Below are 18428 nucleotides of genomic sequence, written 5' to 3' on the forward strand. Positions count from 1 at the left end.
AGTTCAAAGGTAATGCCCTCTATATCTACAAAGTCTCAAGATACCAACACATAATAGCTGTTCACTAAATATCAGTTCATTGACTTTTGAGCAAAGTCAAAATGTGGCCTTTCACTGAAGGAGTCCGAGGCCTGGGTTCCTACCTCCAGTGGGACTGTGACCTCTGTACAACCCCAGGGATCCTGTCTTATCTCTGCTTTTCTACCAGGGAACCTTTTTCCCACCTGATCTAACTCCTTTTCCCTGCAGCTTGACATATAAGACGACCATATTGCAGCTGTACCGCATGGAATAGCGGCTCCAAGGCCCACCTTCGGTGGTTTGCACACCCCTCTTTGCACTGTTCAGAAAAGCACCCCCTCCTTCCCGCCCCTCCCCCTCCTCACTGGTAGGGCCCGCACAAAGTCCACAGGGCTGAGGCTGGCTTCTTGAACTGAGCTCTTTGTGAGGAGCCTTCCTTTCTGGGGCTCTGCTGCCATCTAGTGGAAGACATGCACAAGGTTGGGGGAGGAATTGCCGAGAATGTGGAGAGGGGCCTGAATGACTTCACCTTTGAACCGCTGCCAGGTTTTAGCTGCTTCTGGTTTGGTCCGAGAGGCCTAGAAAGGTGCTTTCTTCTGGGAGATCTGCTTCCTTTAATAACGGTGCAAGACCAGTGGTTCGTACTCGCATTACCCTGTGAAGAGGAAGGGCTGGCATTTCAAGCCATCTTTGAAGATGATGGTGGTTTAGTAGTTTATTGGGGTGCTTTACCCCGGCTGTACACAGAAAGCCAAGGCAGATTTTAAAGCTTATGAAGAAAACATTGTTAGAATTGGGAACCAATTTGTTTTTCTCATGAGAGAGCAGGAAAAATCATCTTCATATGGTTCATTTGTTTCGAGAGGATGGTGAATTGAGATGTTCTTCAGGACACCCAAATCTTTCCAGGACTAGCCAAGCAATATATTGCTACAAACAAACTTGGCTTTTTCCTATTCCCTTTATCCCAGAAGTTGGGATTTGGAAGAGTCCTATTTTACAAATGAGAAGGCTGAGGCCTGGGAGGGAAAGGGAATCACCCCCAGCCCCACAGCTGTGGGACTGGTGCTCTGGTTGCTGGTTTAGCAAATGAAAGAGATTCCAGGTTCTCCAGGTGAATGGGAGAGAGGGTGCATTGGCAAACAGGCCCTGCCTCTCATTCTTCTGATGACAGCTCAGTGGATAGGCATATTTTCTGGTAGCACATACGATATTTTTAATGTTTTATTTTGGACCGTTTCCCTTTGAGCACAGTTTCCCGTAAGTATCTCAGTGAAAGAGGGAAACAAGGTTCTTTTTCAGGTGGGTTGCTGGTGAGAGACCCAAGAGACAGGGTTGTGTGGTCCCCACACTTGCACTGAGGGATGCTGTGACACTGAGCAGGCACCCTCACCTTGCCCCAGATCACCTCCATCTGCAAAATGAGGTTGCTAATGACCATGTGGTCCTTTAGTCATGATGACAATGGCCTGTGAAACATTTAGGGGAAAGGGCTGAGTGTCACATCCCCAGAATTTCTGCCTGATATGTAAAAGGGGAGTTTGAGCAGCAGAGAGATAAAGGCACTTTTTGGCACTAAGTAAAAGCAAGCTAATTGGTTGCCAAGGAGTTGGGCCAAGGAACCTTATTTTGAGCTTTATCTGTGTGCATCATTTTTCCATGAAGATTAAAAAGACTATTAATTCGGTGATAGAGACATATACAATAAATTACCATGAAAGGGCCACAATGACCTTGGCCGTATCTCATTGTAGGTTCAGCTTTCTGGGTGGGCGGGAAGCAGTATTGCCTGCAAGTCAGGGTTGGGAGGGGGTAAGGGGAGCTGGAGTGGAAACGAAGTAGAAGAAAATAGAATCTTGGCAACAGCTACCTGGGCTCTCATTATTTTCAGTGGAGCCTGACATTTGAAGCATAAGAAGAGCTGTCAACAACTTCAAAGCTTCAGGGGCACATTGACAAATGGGCCCGCCTTACAATCTAGCAGCCACGTCCTAATGAGCGGCCTTAAAACTGGTCTGGAGCCCAACCCCCAGCCCCCTACACCAGGTCAGCCTGTGGAATTTAGATTCTCCTCTTCTCTTCCTGCCTTCCCCTCCAGGAGTGGGAACTGGTGGTGCTGGGGAAGTTGAAGTGGAACCTGGCAGCTGTCACTCCTCATGACTTCATTGAGCACATCTTGCGCAAGCTGCCCCAGCAGCGGGAGAAGCTGTCTCTGATCCGCAAGCATGCTCAGACCTTCATTGCTCTGTGTGCCACCGGTAAGATGAGGCTTGAGCCGGGGAGGGAGATGGGGGAGCTCTTTTGGGAGATGTCCGGGGAGAGGCAAAAGGCCGTAGGAACTTTCATTTTAGTTCAGGAGTTTGGAGGAGGGGTGGTCTTGAGTAGTCTAAAGTCTGAAGTTTCATTCCTGGGTTGCTTTTTCTTTATCTGAGCTTTATATATTCGCTTTCTCTGCTAAACTCATAAATGGTTTATGAGGACAGGTGTGGTTAAGGCAAAAAAAATTAGTGCCTGTTAAAATATTCTTTATGATGGCTAAAGTGCTCTTTGAAGATTACATATACTGCTCACTGGTTGTGTTCAAATCTTTAATCTTTTAAGGAAAAGGATGGCTTGGAGATAAGCCCAAGAGGAAATCTCGAGGGGGATGGGGGCAAATACAGGTTAAAGGAACAACGTCAAGATAAATATGCTGCCTGCCTTGATTAGTGGTAAGGGAGACCAAAGAAATTCTTTTTTTTTTTTTTTTACTGTAGGGCATTTATGGCCTTCTAGCTGTTTGCTTCTCTAGCTGTTTGCCCCACTGGGCGCGGGAGGGAACCTGGTTGGCTTTCGGTGAGGCTTTACTTTCTGAGCGCTGGGTTCTGATGCCCTCAGTTCATGTGGAGGTGTTTTGATTTTGGCCGCAGCCTTTAACGTTGCAATTCCGCCTACCACGTGGATCCCACAATTGATACATCATTCCTACTGGCCCATTTGTTTTGTAGTTTCCTAATAAACCAAAGGCAGTGGTTTGCTGTTGTCTTATTAAACAGCCTTGGCCAGTGTCTACTGGTTTTTTGTTTTTTTTTTTCTTGGTAGTGGCCATGGCAGAGACCCTGGAACCTTACTCATCCAAGGGAGAGATGTCAGGAGTTCATGTTTTGACAATCAGAAACCTTAGGTAAAAAGCTGATCACTTGGGAAGACCTTTCGGTGTGCTTCACCTCAAATTTGCCAAGAGTAGTTAAATCGCTAGGTGGACTCACGTGGTAACTTTTTTCAGGATGTTGTTACATGTTACTGGTGAGTTCTACGGAACGGATGATTATATAACGTACGATGTAGTGCATATGCCCTGTGCTCACAGTCAAAAAGTCAGGCTTTGCTGCATATCAGTGAGTGACCTTTAATTGGCTGCTTAACCTCTCTGAACCCGAGCTTCTTCATCTCCAAAACAAGCCTATTGATACATCATCCTACAGCCTTTTCAGAGCAGCTAGGAAAATTAAAATCAGAAAGAGGTGATGCACGTGGACGTGCTTTGTAAACCGAAGTGTAGGTTGGACCTTCACTAATTGTGAAAATGCTACCATCTCCGATTTTCACCCTGATTTTAACTGTTCCGACTAAAGTGGATATGATGGCTTTCCTTTTCTGGCTGCCCTTACGTGTTTCTAGCAGGACCTGTGTGTTCTGCACTTGCAGGCTTGAGTGTGGAGTCCTCCCGGCCCCCTGCCTGTTCATCTAGGGCACAGGTTTCCCCTTGCTGGTTTTCTGTAGTCCTGTTCTCCTGGATGCAGGCCAGGCCTCATGGCGTGCACATGCGCCCTGTGCCCCTTGGTGGGAGAGTCCGTTATCCTTCCTGCAGCCCTGGGGGCGGTTCTTAGGACCCCTGTGGACCCCTGCTGCCTTTTGGATAGTGGTCACTCTGGCTTCCTTCCCTTCTGCTGTCTGGCCCGGGCCCGAGAGGTCAGTCCTCCAGTGACCTGTCATTTTGTCTCCCAGGCTCGGCTGTCTCCTTCCTCTCTCATCATGATTCACTGTGGGGGAGGGGTCAGCCAGTTCTTTCTCTCTGGCCCAAGGACAGCTGACCCCCGACCCTAAACTCCCCCACTGCCCAGCTGTTGATAGCCAGAGCTCTGCTCAACACTGTCTCTTGACTAACAGATCTTTTGGGGTCTAACTGCCCCTTCCTCCTCTCTGATCTCTGATTGGGGTAGGGGTGCTGGGTGGAGTTACCGGGGTGTGGGCAGATCCCCAGATTCCGTCTAGACCCATTCTCGAAAACCGGGGATCCCATCCCCCACCCGTGGCCTTCTTGCCCAGATCTTTGGGCTGGCTGCCAGCTCCGGGGCCAGAGTAGGGAGCCTGGGATTCAGAGACTGAGGACAGAGGCCCAGAGGGATACAGAGGCAGTTATAAAGACTGTGTTTTGGGGGCCTTGAACTAGCTTTGGTCAGGGACTAGGAAAGGACACCCCCAAACCACATGAAAATGGTGTGCTAGGCACTAAGCCTCAGGCGTTGACAGGGCAGAGCACAGGTAGGTCCTCGGCAGTTTCCTGGGTCTGGAAAGGAGGGGCCTGTATCGAAAGAAGTTGCTTTCCCTCATCTGCACTTGGGTTTGTGCAACTGACTGAGTCACATAGAATCCTGGCTGCGTGGAGTTTTACAACAGTCGGCCTCACAGTACAAACACCGAAGGCCGCTTTTCTTGAAGGAAACACCTTCCATGGAGAGGCGATTGTGCATTGTGGGGCCAGGGTGTGATGAATGGGCAAGGACCCAGGACTCTGGCCAGTAGCGGGCACAGAGTGACTGAGAGGCAGAGGTAGGAGATGCAGATTCCCCAACCCGAGCTGTTGCCCTCACCTGCTCCTCAAATCGCACACTTCCCTCCTTTTCTCGCAGTCCTGGATGTTCCGTCCTGGAGCTGATGAAACACCTGCGGCCAGGGTCTCGGAGGTCCACAGTGGGTGGAGGGTGGGGGTCCCGAGAGATGGCCGCCAACCCTCAGGCCGTGCAGCTATTTGATGGGAAAAGCTGGTTGTGAAAGAGCTGGCAGTGGTTCTGCAGTGTGTGGGGAGCGTATTTGTGTGTGAAAGGGGAAGGGAGAGCAGGAGAACATAGAGGGGCCGCGTAAGTGTGGCGAAGTGGCGGTCTTGCTTTATGGGGCTCTGGATTAAGATGGTGGCAAGGCGGAGAGGAGCCCTCCTTCCTTCCCTGCTCAGCCTAAAATGGCTTCTGGAAGAGCAAGGGCCGCAAGCTGCTGGTATCCCTCTGCAGCAGGTCCTGGGCAGTGCAGGCATGGGTGGGTTGGGCGGGGGATCTTCCTGACTACAGCTCCTAGCATTCCTGTTCCTGGAGTTTCCAAAACTGGGGAAGCAGAACTGAGCCATAGCTTCCCTGGTTGCCGCTCTGCTGATAGAACACCCAGGTCTGCAAGCGAGGAAAGAAGGCCATTGGAGATGACCTGGGTTCGCACTCTGGCACTGGGAGATTGTTGAGATGTGATACCATGCTCGGTGGATGATTCCAGTTAGTCTAGCAGAGCCAATGGCATTGAGTTTACACCTGGCACCGGGTAGGGGGAGGTGCTCACCCTCCCTCTCCAGGCACCCACATCCCCTCTTTCTTCACTAGAAGCCCACCCTAAGATGCTGCACCTTGGTATTTGTGCCACACACGGTAGCCACCCCCAGGCCTCCCCACGCCAAGGCCAGAGCCCCATTGTTGACTAGAACCCATTGTGCTGTCCTAGCCCCTTCCCTGGCTTTACCTACAGGTGTTCCCTCAGATTCCATCGCCAAGTGAGAGGGAGACAGTGGTGGCCCAGAGAAGTTCGATGACTTGGCCCTTGATCTAGAGTGGGAGATTTCGCCTTGATGGGTGCTGGGAAGGAAGAATGGAAACCCGTCTTTCCATCTGCAAGTCTCTGAGCTACCCCTGAAGCCGCGAGGTCATGGGACTGAGGGGGAGTCGTTAGCATGCCCTGTGGGGACAAGCAGCCAGGCAGTGTGGTGCTTGCCATCGCTCTTCCCTCTGGCTGTAAGATGAATGGGTAGCAGGCTGCTCATCGCCCTCCAACCAGCCCCCTCCCCAGCTCCTCCCAGCAGGCCTTGCAGTTGCATGGGCATTCCCTTGCCATGGCAGCCCTGCCCCACAAGGACAGGGTATGCTGGTCCTCTTATGGGGGTGGCAGATGAGGTGCGTGCCCAGTGACGTCCCTGGCCTGTGAACACTCTGGTTCTGGCCCTTTGAACTTCCACCTGACTGCAGGTTGGAGAAGAGAGATGGGGAAAGCCTGACCTGGCCTTCCCTTTCTTCTTCAGCGTCAGAGTGCGTATCTCTCTCCCCCTATTGGTGAACAGAAGCAAAGCCATCACCCCTGCACCCCAAGACCTCGGCCACCATAGCCAAAATGATGGGTGCTAAATGTACTGGGCAGGACCATGTATTCCGTGGTTTTAAACTTACTTAGCTCTGAACTCTTTATTTGGTAAAATCCTACCAAGAAGTGCAGATACCAAGTTGATGAAATGGAGCACTTCTCAGGGCCCATGCCCAGGTGAGGGAGCCCAGCGGGACCCCCAGAGGCTCCCAGGGCATCCTTGGGAGGATAAGCCTTTTGTGCTTGCTGGTGCCGGGGCTGCGGCTGGGACCCAATTCCTTTGATTCCTGAGCCAGAGCGCCACCTTTGGGGCTCTTCTCCCACTTCCGACGTGAAAGGCTGCCCTGTCCTCCTGAGTGGTATATGGGAGGTGACTTTGAGGAGCTGGTCAGCTTCCAGTAAGTTACGAAGAGCTCTGCATCCAGAGTCTCAAAGTCTCATCCGGATCCCAGGCCCAACACTCACAGTGAGTGACATCAGCCAGATCACTTCATCTCCCAAGACTTCATTGATTCACCTGTAAAAGGAGATGTTTGAAACAGATGAATTTCAAGCTCCTTTTTATTAATACCTCACCATCATCACCGCCGTCATAAGCAAGCATGCAGCCCACAGCAGAGCTGCCCCTGGCGCCTGTGGGTCCAGCTGGGATTCCCCTAAGGTGTGTCCTTTGCCTCCACCATTTTGCCAGGAGGGAGGCGGGAATGTCGGGTGTTCCTGGTTATCTGGGCATCGTTCCTTGGCTCGGGTGAACTGCATCTCAATGAATTGTGGAATGTGCTGGGTTAGAGTTGCCAACTTCTCTCTTCCATTCGCTGAGTGTTCATGGGGTTCTTTTCATTCCCCTGTGGGGCTGCACTTTCTCCCAGTTCTGCAAAGCAGCAGGAGGCTTTGGGGACTCGATGATGTCATTTCTGGGACACATACACAACTGGATAGTGACAGATTCTCCAGGAAGCACAGAGCCCTCATTCTTCCTGGCCTGCTTGGCCTGCTCCCTGCATCTGCCTGCAATCCAGGGATGCTGGGCGCCTTTCTCCTCATCCCTCCAGACGCTGGAGAGCATCTCCAGTCGGAACTCCCCACCACAGTCCTGCAGGAAGTACTAGGAGTGAGAGCAGAGGAGGGGCAGGTTGGGGAGGATGCTGGCTGACATTCATTGCTTACCTTGAACCAGGCACTGTGCTTTTACAAGGATTATTTTAAGTGAATCCTCAGAACAGCACTACAACGTGGGTATTGCTGTTGTCATTATTTGCAGATCAGAAAATGAAAACTCAGAGAGGTCAGGTAACTTGCTCATCTTCACACACTTGGTAGGTGGTGGGATGGAGATTCCACCTCCTTCTGATTCCAGAGCTAATACTCTGAACCAGTGAGCTGTGTTCTCCAGAGGTCTGCTTTGGTTGGAGGGGAGCTGGAGCCCTAGGCCCTGGGACGGCCTCTGTTGCCCATGGCAAGGCGTGTGGCTGCTCCTGCTCTCTTCAGATCTCCAGATGCAGCAACCTGGAGAAAGGCCCTCCTGGGTCTGGTGGGGACTGGGGCAGGAGTGGAGGCTGCCCAAGCTCCGTGCACTCCACGTTCCAGCTTGGAGCTTTTTGAGTCTACTCTCCAAATCCTTCCCATCTCCCTGAAGAGTCTTCTGAGAAGTGTCTCAAATGCTCCTCTTCACTCAAGAGCCTCCTTTCTTTTTTTTTTTCTTTTCTTTTTCTTTTTTTTTTTTGAGACAGTCTTGCTCTGTCACCCAGGCTGGAGTGCATGGCACAATCTCTGCTCACTGCAACCTCCAACTCCCGGGTTCAAGTGATTCTCTTGCCCAAGCCTCCAGAATAGCTGGGATTACAGGCGCGTGCCACCATGCCTGGCTAATTTTTGTATTTTTAGTACAGACAGGGTTTCACCGTGTTGGCCAGACTGGTCTCGAACTTCGGACCTCAGGTCATCTGCCCACCTCGGCCTCCCAAAGTGCTAGGATTACACTGTGAGCCACTGCGCCCAGCCTTCAAGAGCCCCCTTTCTTTGAGAAGTTTCTTCAGAAGTTATCCATATAGTAGTACAGACCTAGCCATTATAGCACACCATCCTCTACTATCTAATGCATTGATGCCCAGCCTTAAGAAGTCTGAATATTGTACGTTTTGGGGGGAGTCCTCCATGCTGCCTGGAACAGGGAGGAGCACATTGTCATGAGTCGATCAGAATGGATCGCTGATCGGTTCATTGCCTCTCTCTCTGCTGCAGGAGGAAGGATCTCAGGAAGTCACCAGCATCTCACCTCTCCAGGTGGGCAATTAACGATGGCGAGGGCACACCCTCACCCCTGAGCGTGCCTTCTGCACCAGCATATTGCTTGTTGGCATTTTTGATCAAGAGACTTAACAGACTGCTGAGAAATTTGTACCTGGTTTTTATTTGTTAAAATAATATTACGTACAAATTTTACAAACTCATCTGTGTTTCTCCCACCTAACAGAACAGCTTTTATTTTCCGTGCATCCTTCCAGTTCATCCATAGGCATATATGTATGTATTTACCCATGGTTGTAATCTTCATCGTCGCATGCATGCATGCAATTTGGTTTTCCGCTTCCTTCTTCTGAGTGGATATTGTGACCATTTCTCCATCCTGTCATAGCGACAAAGCTGATGGTTTCCAGGAATGGCTGCATTGGGTAGGTGGAGCTTTCCACAGTTGAGGGTGGGGGTTGGCTAATTACAGCTAGGAAGCTAGTGCACAGATGAAATGATGTTTGATTTTTTTGTTTTTCTCTCTGTTCAGTATCCCCTACCAGTAGAGAGGGGGATGTCCTTGAGAGTGGTCCTGGGGCAGCCCTGGTGCCACGGGGAAGTAGCGCCGCTCTGTGGAGAGGGCTGCTTTGTGAATTTGCCGGCTGGTAGACACCGTGATCCATTCTATTGTCTCCTCATTGTTCTTCTCCTTGGGAGTCATTCCCATTCCAGATCCTCAAGTAAGAGCAAAGTAGACCTGTAAGGCACCTGGGAGGTTATCCTGCTTACTATCTTTAAACTCTTGACCTAAGCCATGTAGGAAGAAACACATTTTATAACACAACTCAGGATACTTGTACAAGTATATCAAACTGATACAAAAGTTTCTCCGAACAATATTTACTCTTAACGACATACGGTGAGCCTGATACTTTCTATCCTACTCTATTTGGTTAAAGGAGAACAACAACAGAAAGTGCTGGTCACGACCCACAAATGCATTTCATGACCCATTAATGAGTTGCAGCTAGAAGTTAGAAAAACACTTATCTCACCCAACCCGTTATTAGACAAATGGGAAACCAAGCCCTTGGAAAGAGGAAGTGACTTGCCCACAGTCCCACGTCTGGACCTAGCTGGAGGGCTGATGTTGCCTCAGTATTTGACTAACCTGGAGGAGAGGTGGGGCATGCTCAGGGATCCCGAGGAAGATGCTCGTCTTCTGTGTAGCGGGCAACAGAGGGCAGCACGGCCGCCGTCCTCGTCTCCAGCGGCGTCTCTCCTCTGGCTGTGGGAACACACTGCTCCTTTGGTGCCACTCTGAGCTGCTGAGAGGCAGTCAAGTTCATGCACATAGTGCTCCCCAATTCTGTGGGATTGGACAGTGTCCCCAAGAGGACTCCCCTGAAAATCTTCTTAGTAAAACAAAAAGGGAGGTAGAGTCTCCCTGTGCAACCGGTGCACCTGTTCCCCCTATGCCTGCTGGCTTCCAGAAGTTCATTCGTATGCCAATAATAAGAGTTGGTTTTGCTAGCAGTGGGACAGCAGAGATGGGCATGTGTGAGGTGTGCTTCCCGGTCTGAGGCCTATGGCAGAGGGAAGGGAGGGCCGGGGATACTTGCCTGCCTCTTCCCTGGCAGATGCTCCCACCCGGGCCTTTGTGGGCCCAGGGCCATGGGCCGGCTGCCCCGCTTGTGTTATGAATGTCACAGGGGGGAGCTAACGAGGTTATTGGGCAGAGAAACACTCTCCTGTGACCCATGTGGAAGAGACCTACAGCAGAGCAAGAGGCAGGGAGGCTGGCTTTGTCACACTGTTCATGGCGACAGAGAAGGCGTAGGAGGGGCGGGTGGACAGCAGGCGTGGGCGCAGCACCATTATATACGTCCCTCAAGAGGTGGAGATGGTGAGAGGGCAATGGAGAAAAAGCCAAGGAGACAGGCAGATGGCCAGGTTTGCTCTGCGTTCATGATGGGAGGGGAGGGCTGTGCTTGGCTCAGGGATCCACGGTGTCTAACAATGCTGCTAACTTGATGCTGGGGCAATGGGCTGACCATTAAAAGAGCTGCTGTAGAAAGTGTGTTTGTAATAGAGTGTGTACAGGAGGAAGGGGAAATAGGAGAGGGGCTGGTTTTTGTAGATTTAACCTGATTGTTTTTGCTGTAAGTTGAAGGGTGACCCACGGTTCCCTGTATGCTGTGTCTCCTGCCCCCACGTGCCCCTTCCATGTCTACACACAGTAAGCTCACTAGAGCAATGCTAAAACGAGAAAGAGTACGCTTTGGAAGACTTGCTGCACTCCAGGACCGTCACTAGCGTGATGGCTGCAACTATACCCACCCTAATATCTGTCAACACGAGCAGGGGCAACTTAAACTCTCAAAAGTCTCAGGGTTCTCACCCATACCATTAGGGTGACGCTCGTGTGCATCTTCTGTGGCTGATGGGTAAATTAAACAGGACGTAATGTGTAGCGTACTGCATGTGGTGGTCATTGGTAGCTGTCAGCAGCTGTAACAGGAGAAGTTGGCTGTCTTTATTTCCCCTCGATGGACCAAGCAGCTGCTGGATCATGGCCACCCAGCCCCTCTGAAGGAGTGCTCGGAGGAACACAAGGGGGCTGGTCTTCCAAGAGGAGCCCTCTAGCATGGCAGTGGACGGGGTTCAAGCCCCTCTGATTTATTATCCTCATTCTGCACTTCCCTGTAGCAAGTCACATTTTTTTCTCTTAGCAATAAAATGGGGCCTTCAGTCTCATGAGTCATAACATCGAAACCGAGTCACCCATCTGATTCGGATGCAATGATTAATCTTCAGTGCTTAGTTAGAGCCCTATGTTAGGGTTAGAATCCTCTGCCCTAATGTTCTGAGGGTTCTTGCTGTTGGGCCAGAGGTTGGGAACTGGGTGGAACTCAGCCCCCACTCGCCCACTCCCTGCATTGCTGCTTCTCTCATTTCCTTTTTTAGATCAAACCTTTTTTTTTTTTTTTTGGGTGGGGGTCATATTAATCCTCAATGCCTGTCCAGAGACTATAACAAGATCCCATCTGAATTAGCATTATGCATAGATTTTGCCCGTTTCTCCCATCTCCTTGTACTTTCCCTCCTTCTCACATCTGGAGCCCCTGGTCTGTCCTGCTTGCATGGCCCATGGGGTACCTTGTCTGCACTGGTCTCAGGCATTCTCTGCTCTGTTCCCACCATCACCTCTAGAGGAGACTATGACTCGCTCACCTTGCTCCCCCCACCAGGGTCAAGAATGTTAACTCAGACATGCTTAATATGACTGGGATCTGGGGATTGGGGACCTTGAATCCTCTGTGCATTCATTGTGTGCGCTTAGATAAGCTGTCTTCCTTCCCTGCCTCAGTCTCCTTCGTTTAATCTGGAACAGCCATGGTGATGGCAAATAAACACAGGCTCCTTGTGAAAGAACTCGAGGGAGGACATGCCTGTAGGGCACGGGGTCACTCGCGCCGCTGACCTGCTGCCGTCCTGTTTCTGAGTCTCTGCAGTCTCGGGAGCTCCAGGATCCAAATTCGTTCTGTGCCCTGACCTTCTGCCTCTCATTCCTTGCAGACTTTAAGTTTGCCATGTACCCACCGTCGATGATCGCAACTGGAAGTGTGGGAGCAGCCATCTGTGGGCTCCAGCAGGATGAGGAAGTGAGCTCGCTCACTTGTGATGCCCTGACTGAGCTGCTGGCTAAGATCACCAACACAGACGTGGTAGGTGGCCACCACCTTCTTGGCTAAGTCCAGATGTCTCTTCTCAGCTCAGGGAAGGAGACGACGGATTTGATTATGTTGTGTCAGAGGTATTTTTCTGGTTTGTTTCCTAAGATCGACATCCAAGGGAGTGCAAAGTTCAGCAGGTGACACCCCCTCTTAAGGTTCTGAAAAGCTGTGCACGGGAAAATACGGAAGAAAACTCAGCAAGCAGATGAAGGGGGTGGGGGTGGGAGGGCTGTTTACCGATGTTCCTTTATGGCGTGGGCTTCTCAGTGGGTCTGAATTGTTGCTTCATTGCCATATTTGTACACGCTGCCAGGCTGCCTCTGCCCGGCAGCGAAGAGCTGCCGTGTCTGCTTTCACACGCTGAGGCTGTAAGGCGCACAGAGGAGAAAGGAGAGCCAGGACTCAGCTGCAGTGGATGGAGCAGACACACAAGAGGTGCCCCACTGTGAGAACGGTGTCCGTCCCTGGCAAACCTCTCGACCCCTCCCCGCTCTCTCTTCCCTTTTGTTCAATGCAGTAATGGATTACAAAGTGCTTTCAAAAGACAAAGTGCCATACAAACTCAAGAAACTATTATTAGCTACGGAGCTTCCCCATTCTGTGTGCCCTGTGGACGGCCCAGAGGCTGTTAACTTCCTGTTGCCAGAATTTGGAGCTCCTGAGAAGAAAGGTTTTGAGAGAGACCAGGGTCAAGTGAGCCTCTGAATTCAATCAGCAGGAAGCTGCAGTCCTAGCCCGTCCGAGACAGGATGGTGCCAAGAGGTCAGAGAGGCCATTCCTTCGTTTTCCACGGGCAGGACAGGGACTGAAGTAACCAGCCAGGAGCGGGGTGGGCAGTGGCTGAGCTGGGGCTAGAACCCCCAGGCTCCGACTGCCCCCTGGAAACTTCCCACTCCACCCTTGTTGCCGCTCCTGGGATCTTTTGGTTTGAAAAAAAACCCTGGGGTTTAAAGTCAACCTGAGAGAGGGGTGTTGGCCCTGAGCCCTCATGCATCACCATGGAGAGGCTGAAGAATGCTGGGCACTTCACGATGACACCCTCTGGATGGTCCGGGGGGATTCAGATGCCCTCTGCGGGCTTTTATTGAGTTAAGGGATCATGTGGTTTATAGGCCTATGGCTGAGGCCTGCACGAGGGATACGGGACAGGTTAAACCTCAGAGAGCCCACGGCTGCAGCTCGCCGGCCTCCTCGCCCGCCCACCTGGATTTTCCCTGGCATTTGTTCCCAGCTCAGAGAAATGGCGCAGGGAGATGCTGACGGAGCAAATCCGGGGTCCTCCTCTGAGATAGTTCGTAGATATGGTTTTAAAATGCGGGCTCCAAACATACGCTTTTTAAACGAGGACTCCAGAACACAGACTGAAAACCTCCCTCCAGTGCAGCATGAAGAATGCTTTTCTAATCCTCCAGAGGAAAATCGTGGACGGGACTTAACGTTTATAGAAATGGTACGCTTTCCTCCTTTTCTGAATGTCTCCAATTAAGGCTGCCTTACAAATAGGACTCTCAGCCAGTTTAAGACAAGCCCTTCCTCAATGCCTGGAGACAAAAATGTCAGTGACAGGAGTTGGAAGCGGCCACCCCCCTCCTCCTGCCCCCAGGCATTGTAACCTTTTCCCCCGATGTTGATAGACCTGCTCTGATGGGCTGACCACCCTACCGGCTCCAGCCTTTTCCCACCTCCCTTTGTCCCCCGTTACTGATCTCACATGGACAGTGGTGGAAATTTCCCTCCTGGGAGTTGCTGCTGAGTCTCTTGGCTTTTCGAGACCGCAGGCAAGTCAGTCCGTCATCTCATCTGGGGAAACTGTTTGCCTTTTTCTGATACTACGTAGCCAGTCCATTTAAGTCAGCTGGCCAACTCTGTTAAATGGATATGAAGTGGGTACGAAGCTGGTTTAGGGGTGTCCTCCTATAAATCCTAACTGTTGGTCAAGTTGATACCTCATTTCTATAATGGGCACACGCCGTGTTTCCTAACTGGGGCTGCCTGTGTGTGCCTCATTCACACCGGTGGACCTGGGTTGAACATGTTCATATTTAAAAACCAAGAGTGAACGCGGTGAAATGTACAATTCATAACACTTTTTCAAAGAAAAATCTGAGCCCTCAGGAAGTTCCAGGCTTACCTCTGGCACCCCGGAGGCTGGTTCGCTCTCCCTGAAAATGTTTTTAGTGGAAAGGTTCAAGCAGCTCTGGGCTAGGCTGTGTGTGTGTGTGTGTGTGTGTGTGTTTATGCACCTTTCCAAGTGCTAAATCTCCTCCCATCCATCAGCCTGTGTTCTCTGAAAAGCTGACGCTCAGAGGGAAGAAAAATAAAAGGACTAGAATTTAGAACACATTAGTGTTTGGAGGGAGGTGAGTTGTGCTTCCTGAGCTCTGTTTACCATTTCACGAGTCACGAAGTGGTGTATTTCCTTCATTCGTTTCTGGAAGTCTTTACTGAAGGCCCAGTTGTTGCTAGAAGTTGGGGTGGATGGTGGCATCTGGGAAATAGAGGATGAGATTCCTGCCTTCAAGGAACTTAGCAGTTGTATGATGAAGCAAGAGTAAAGCGTGCAAAACCCTAGCAAATTAAGAACGTAAACAAAGGTGTGCTACGTAACGTGTTACGAACCCTAAATGCAGTAGGAAATCAACCCAAAAGAAGGAGCTCATCAGGCCTAACGTAGAATGCCGGCCTCCCAGCAGAGAAAACTTGGTGATAGAAACTGTTCTTAGAGTAGAGAAACAAAATGTATGGGCACGCAATGGAATATTATTCAACCTTAAAAAGAAATGAAATTCCGATCCATGTTATAACATGGGCGAACCTTGAAAATACTATGTTAAGTGAAACGAGCCAGACACAAAAAGACAAATACTGTATGATTCCACTTATACCAGGTACCTGGAATAGTCAAATTCGTAGAGACAGAAAGTAGAATAGAGGTTCCCAGGAGTCTGGGGAGAGGAGAGGATGGGGAGTTAGTGTTTAATGCGTACGGAGTTTCAGTTTGGGATGATGAAAACAATTCTGTAGATGGAGAGTTCTGATGGCCACACAGCAGTGTGAATGTACTTAATGCCACTGTACATTTAAAAGTGGCTGAAAAGGGAAATTTGACATTATGTGTATTTATGATAGTAAAATGTGTGTGTGTATATATGTATATACACACACATACATAAATGGATATATATATATGTATGTATGTATGTCTGAAACATTCTCGGGCCACGCTATGAAATGCCCATAGGTTGATGTTGAGCTCTTCCCTGGAAAAGTGAAATACACAGGACCACATTTTGCCCCCTGGCCCTAGTGCATTGACAAACGGGAATCAGGAAGAGCTGACAGTTTCCCCCAGAGCCCCTGAAGTTATATGTCAGCTCCTACACACCTTGCTGTTTCTGATTTCTTCAAGCTTGCAATGCTCTCTGTTACTTTGGGGGTTAGGTCGTGGGTTGTCGGGGATCGAGCTGTGGAAAGAGGGTCCCCCTGATTCTTGTGAGATGGCCAGGCGAGTCTCTGTGGTTCATTGGCCAGGAGCAGATAGCTTTGATATGAGGGACGCATGCGGCTCTGAGAAAGTCGGCCTTTGTTGCTCCGTCTGGTTGCCAAAATAAACCAGAACGCTTCATTCCAAAGAGAAAGCTGAGTGAGGGGCCTGACAGTTTTATAGGGAATAAACGTCTCAGAGAGTGGTATATTTTAAATACTTTTTCCTTCCAATCGTAAGAGTTGCTAAAAACAGCCAGAGAGGCAGTTTGGCTGTAGGGGGGACGTCTATTGGGGGTGTCCAGTGCCTGGGTAGGTTTGAGAGGGGAGGGTGCCACTGGCCTGGGTCCCCGGTGACCATGGCCCTGCTTCCTTGGGCTGAATCGGGGTCCTCTTCCATCCCCTCTGCACACTAGTCGGGCTGCGTGCCAGCATTGATCTCACTGCTTCCTTGTCTATAGAACCTCTTGAATAAGGCCCAGCTTTTCCTCAGCTCTTTATCCAGAGCCCCTGGCAGAGTCATTGGGAGTGATGCTTAAGAGAGGAAGGGAAGAGGAAGGAAGGAGCAAAGGACAAAGGCAGGCAGATGGGTTTCCAGTGGGTTTCCGATTCACTGGTCTGTCCATGTCCTTTGAAAAGCTGTGTCTTTTCTTTAACTTCAATTCTGTGTCAGGGCCTTCCGAGCCTTCTGAGTTTTCCCCAACCTTATCTTAGAGTAGGTTAAATGAAGTGGCTTCATTTTCATATGACACAGTTGCACAAATTCACTAACTAAAAAATGGAATGGAGGCTCACAGGCCATAAAGGTGTTGTGAAGTTATTGCAAGATACTTAACAGAAGAAAGACTCTAGTCATCTGTTCCTTATATTTATCCTTTTTTGTCTAAGTCACATCAAAACTCTTTGTCACATTCTTTAAAAACAAAAAGCAAAAAACAAAACTTTAGATTCAGGGGATCCATGTGCGGTTTGTTACGTGGATATATCGTGTGATGCTGAGGTTTGGGCTTCAGTCGAACCCGTCACCCAGACAGTGTACACAGTACCCAATAGGGAGTGTTTCAACTCTCGTCCCTGTCCCTAGACACATTCTTAAATATTGCCCAGAGAAGATTCCAGGATATCCCTTCCTTAGGGTCATCCTGGCATTTTACGGTCCTGGTTATCAATGAGCTATTAAAAAGCAGGGAGGTGGAGGCGCCGTGGAAGAAGTCTCAGTTTCGACCACATGTGTGTGATTCATGGGGTTTAGCATTGTGTGTTTCTGCTCCGTAGCTGGAAGTGCCGCCACCCTCGCCCCACATGTCATTTTCAAGCCTCCACTGTTACAGATTCTGTCTTCTGTGGACTCTTCAGGGCCTGTGGTCAGGAACCTTGTGAAGTGTTGCTGGAAGCTGGGGGTGGGGAGGTGGAATAGAATCGGGGGCTGATGCCTCCCTCTCCTGCCTCATTTTTCTGTGGGCCTCATTTGGTATGCAAGGAAATAAGCCAAACAGCCTGTGAAGAAAGGAAGAATGAGATAGTTTCCTAAGTTGTCTCTGCCTGAGTTGGCCGCGGGTCTGGGGCTCATTCAGCCCTTTGTCCCCCTGTTGAGTGCAGTGCGTGTGTGGTGACAATGAGGTGGTGCAGTTACACTGAGGGCTAATGGTAGGAGTTCCGTCAGCCCATTCATGGAGGCAGAGGAGGGTGCAGGGCGCGGAGCTCGAGCCAGCAAGCAGAGGAAGTCAGAGGCCCTTGTAACGAGCTGAAGATCACAAACACTGCTGTGAGGGCTCCAGGCTTGGGGGCGGGGGCAGCCAGGAGGGAAGGGGGCAAGGGAGGGGGCCTATCATCATAGAAGTTGGAGGTCTGCCCGACCGCCAGCGCGGTAGGGTACCACCTGTCCAGGCTGACAGACGAGCATTATGGCTTCCCTTTTAATCAGCTTAATTTGGGGCATCTTAACACAATGGCTGGTGCTTTGGAGGCTGCAGGAAAGCTGATGTCCTAGAGCCGCCACACTTGACATGCGTGTAACACCTTTTGATTAGAGGCGCTTTCGTGTTTTTCCAGCCACTTGGGCTCTGTCTCTTTTTCTTGGAGATTCTCTGGTCTGTATGTCTTTACTTAGAGCTTAGAAGTCAAGGTATATAGGAAAAAGGAGTTCTGAAATTGGAGGCTTGCCCTTTCTAAAGCCAGTCTGAGCTTTCAGCCAGATGTCACTGGGACAAGCCACGTCAACTCTCCACGCTCCATTCCCTAGCTGGGAAACGAGGGCATTTGGCTATTTGATTTCCAGAGGCCCTTTGGACCTCCAAATTCTCCAAGTCTGTGATTATTTGTGTATGTCTTCTTATAATCCAGCCCCTTTGGAAGCACTAACTCCACTCTTCTCTCAGCTTGATCCTCTAATAGAAGCAACCTGGTTGGATTTAAGGTGGAGGTCTTCCTCTCTCCAGGTGGCTGCCCTCATCTCTACCCCCACCCCAATCCCATGCATTCTCCTGCCCTCCTGCTTTGGGCAAGACCCGGGCGATGTGGAGTTGGCATGTCCAGTTGCAGGTATCAGCACCACTGCACCATCTCCTCTGCCTTCACTTCCCACCA

The 18428-nt window shown here is 50.3% G+C and overlaps 1 protein-coding gene across 1 annotated transcript in view, besides 5 other annotated features; it reads left to right on the top strand.

The window, feature by feature from the left end:
• CCND2 (cyclin D2) overlaps positions 1-18428 on the top strand; it is a 31592-nt gene that overhangs the window by 2879 nt on the left and 10285 nt on the right. Inside the window, exons 3-4 of the mRNA NM_001759.4 lie at positions 2120-2279; positions 12202-12350. Coding sequence (NP_001750.1) covers positions 2120-2279; positions 12202-12350 — 309 coding nt within the window. The remainder of the gene's footprint in view (positions 1-2119; positions 2280-12201; positions 12351-18428) is intronic.
• Positions 2191-2383: a silencer, noted in NCBI's record as "fragment chr12:4387997-4388189 (GRCh37/hg19 assembly coordinates)". NCBI's record gives its function as "represses an EF-1alpha promoter that drives an FKBP-Casp9 reporter gene in an ReSE screen in phorbol 12-myristate 13-acetate-treated (for megakaryocytic differentiation) K562 erythroleukemia cells {active_cell/tissue: K562(+PMA)}" and the evidence as "EXISTENCE:reporter gene assay evidence [ECO:0000049][PMID:32094911]".
• Positions 3565-4522: an enhancer, noted in NCBI's record as "H3K4me1 hESC enhancer chr12:4389371-4390328 (GRCh37/hg19 assembly coordinates)". NCBI's record gives its function as "activates a minimal SCP1, AML or CMV promoter by ChIP-STARR-seq in naive H9 embryonic stem cells {active_cell/tissue: H9 hESC(naive)}" and the evidence as "EXISTENCE:reporter gene assay evidence [ECO:0000049][PMID:30033119]".
• Positions 9811-9860: an enhancer, noted in NCBI's record as "active region_5824". NCBI's record gives its function as "activates an Ori minimal core promoter by ATAC-STARR-seq in GM12878 lymphoblastoid cells {active_cell/tissue: GM12878}" and the evidence as "EXISTENCE:reporter gene assay evidence [ECO:0000049][PMID:35858748]".
• Positions 16975-17476: an enhancer, noted in NCBI's record as "H3K4me1 hESC enhancer chr12:4402781-4403282 (GRCh37/hg19 assembly coordinates)". NCBI's record gives its function as "activates a minimal SCP1, AML or CMV promoter by ChIP-STARR-seq in primed H9 embryonic stem cells {active_cell/tissue: H9 hESC(primed)}" and the evidence as "EXISTENCE:reporter gene assay evidence [ECO:0000049][PMID:30033119]".
• Positions 17477-17976: an enhancer, noted in NCBI's record as "H3K4me1 hESC enhancer chr12:4403283-4403782 (GRCh37/hg19 assembly coordinates)". NCBI's record gives its function as "activates a minimal SCP1, AML or CMV promoter by ChIP-STARR-seq in primed H9 embryonic stem cells {active_cell/tissue: H9 hESC(primed)}" and the evidence as "EXISTENCE:reporter gene assay evidence [ECO:0000049][PMID:30033119]".

This window comes from Homo sapiens, chromosome 12 (assembly GCF_000001405.40).
Source record: "Homo sapiens chromosome 12, GRCh38.p14 Primary Assembly".
Lineage (NCBI taxonomy): Eukaryota > Metazoa > Chordata > Mammalia > Primates > Hominidae > Homo > Homo sapiens.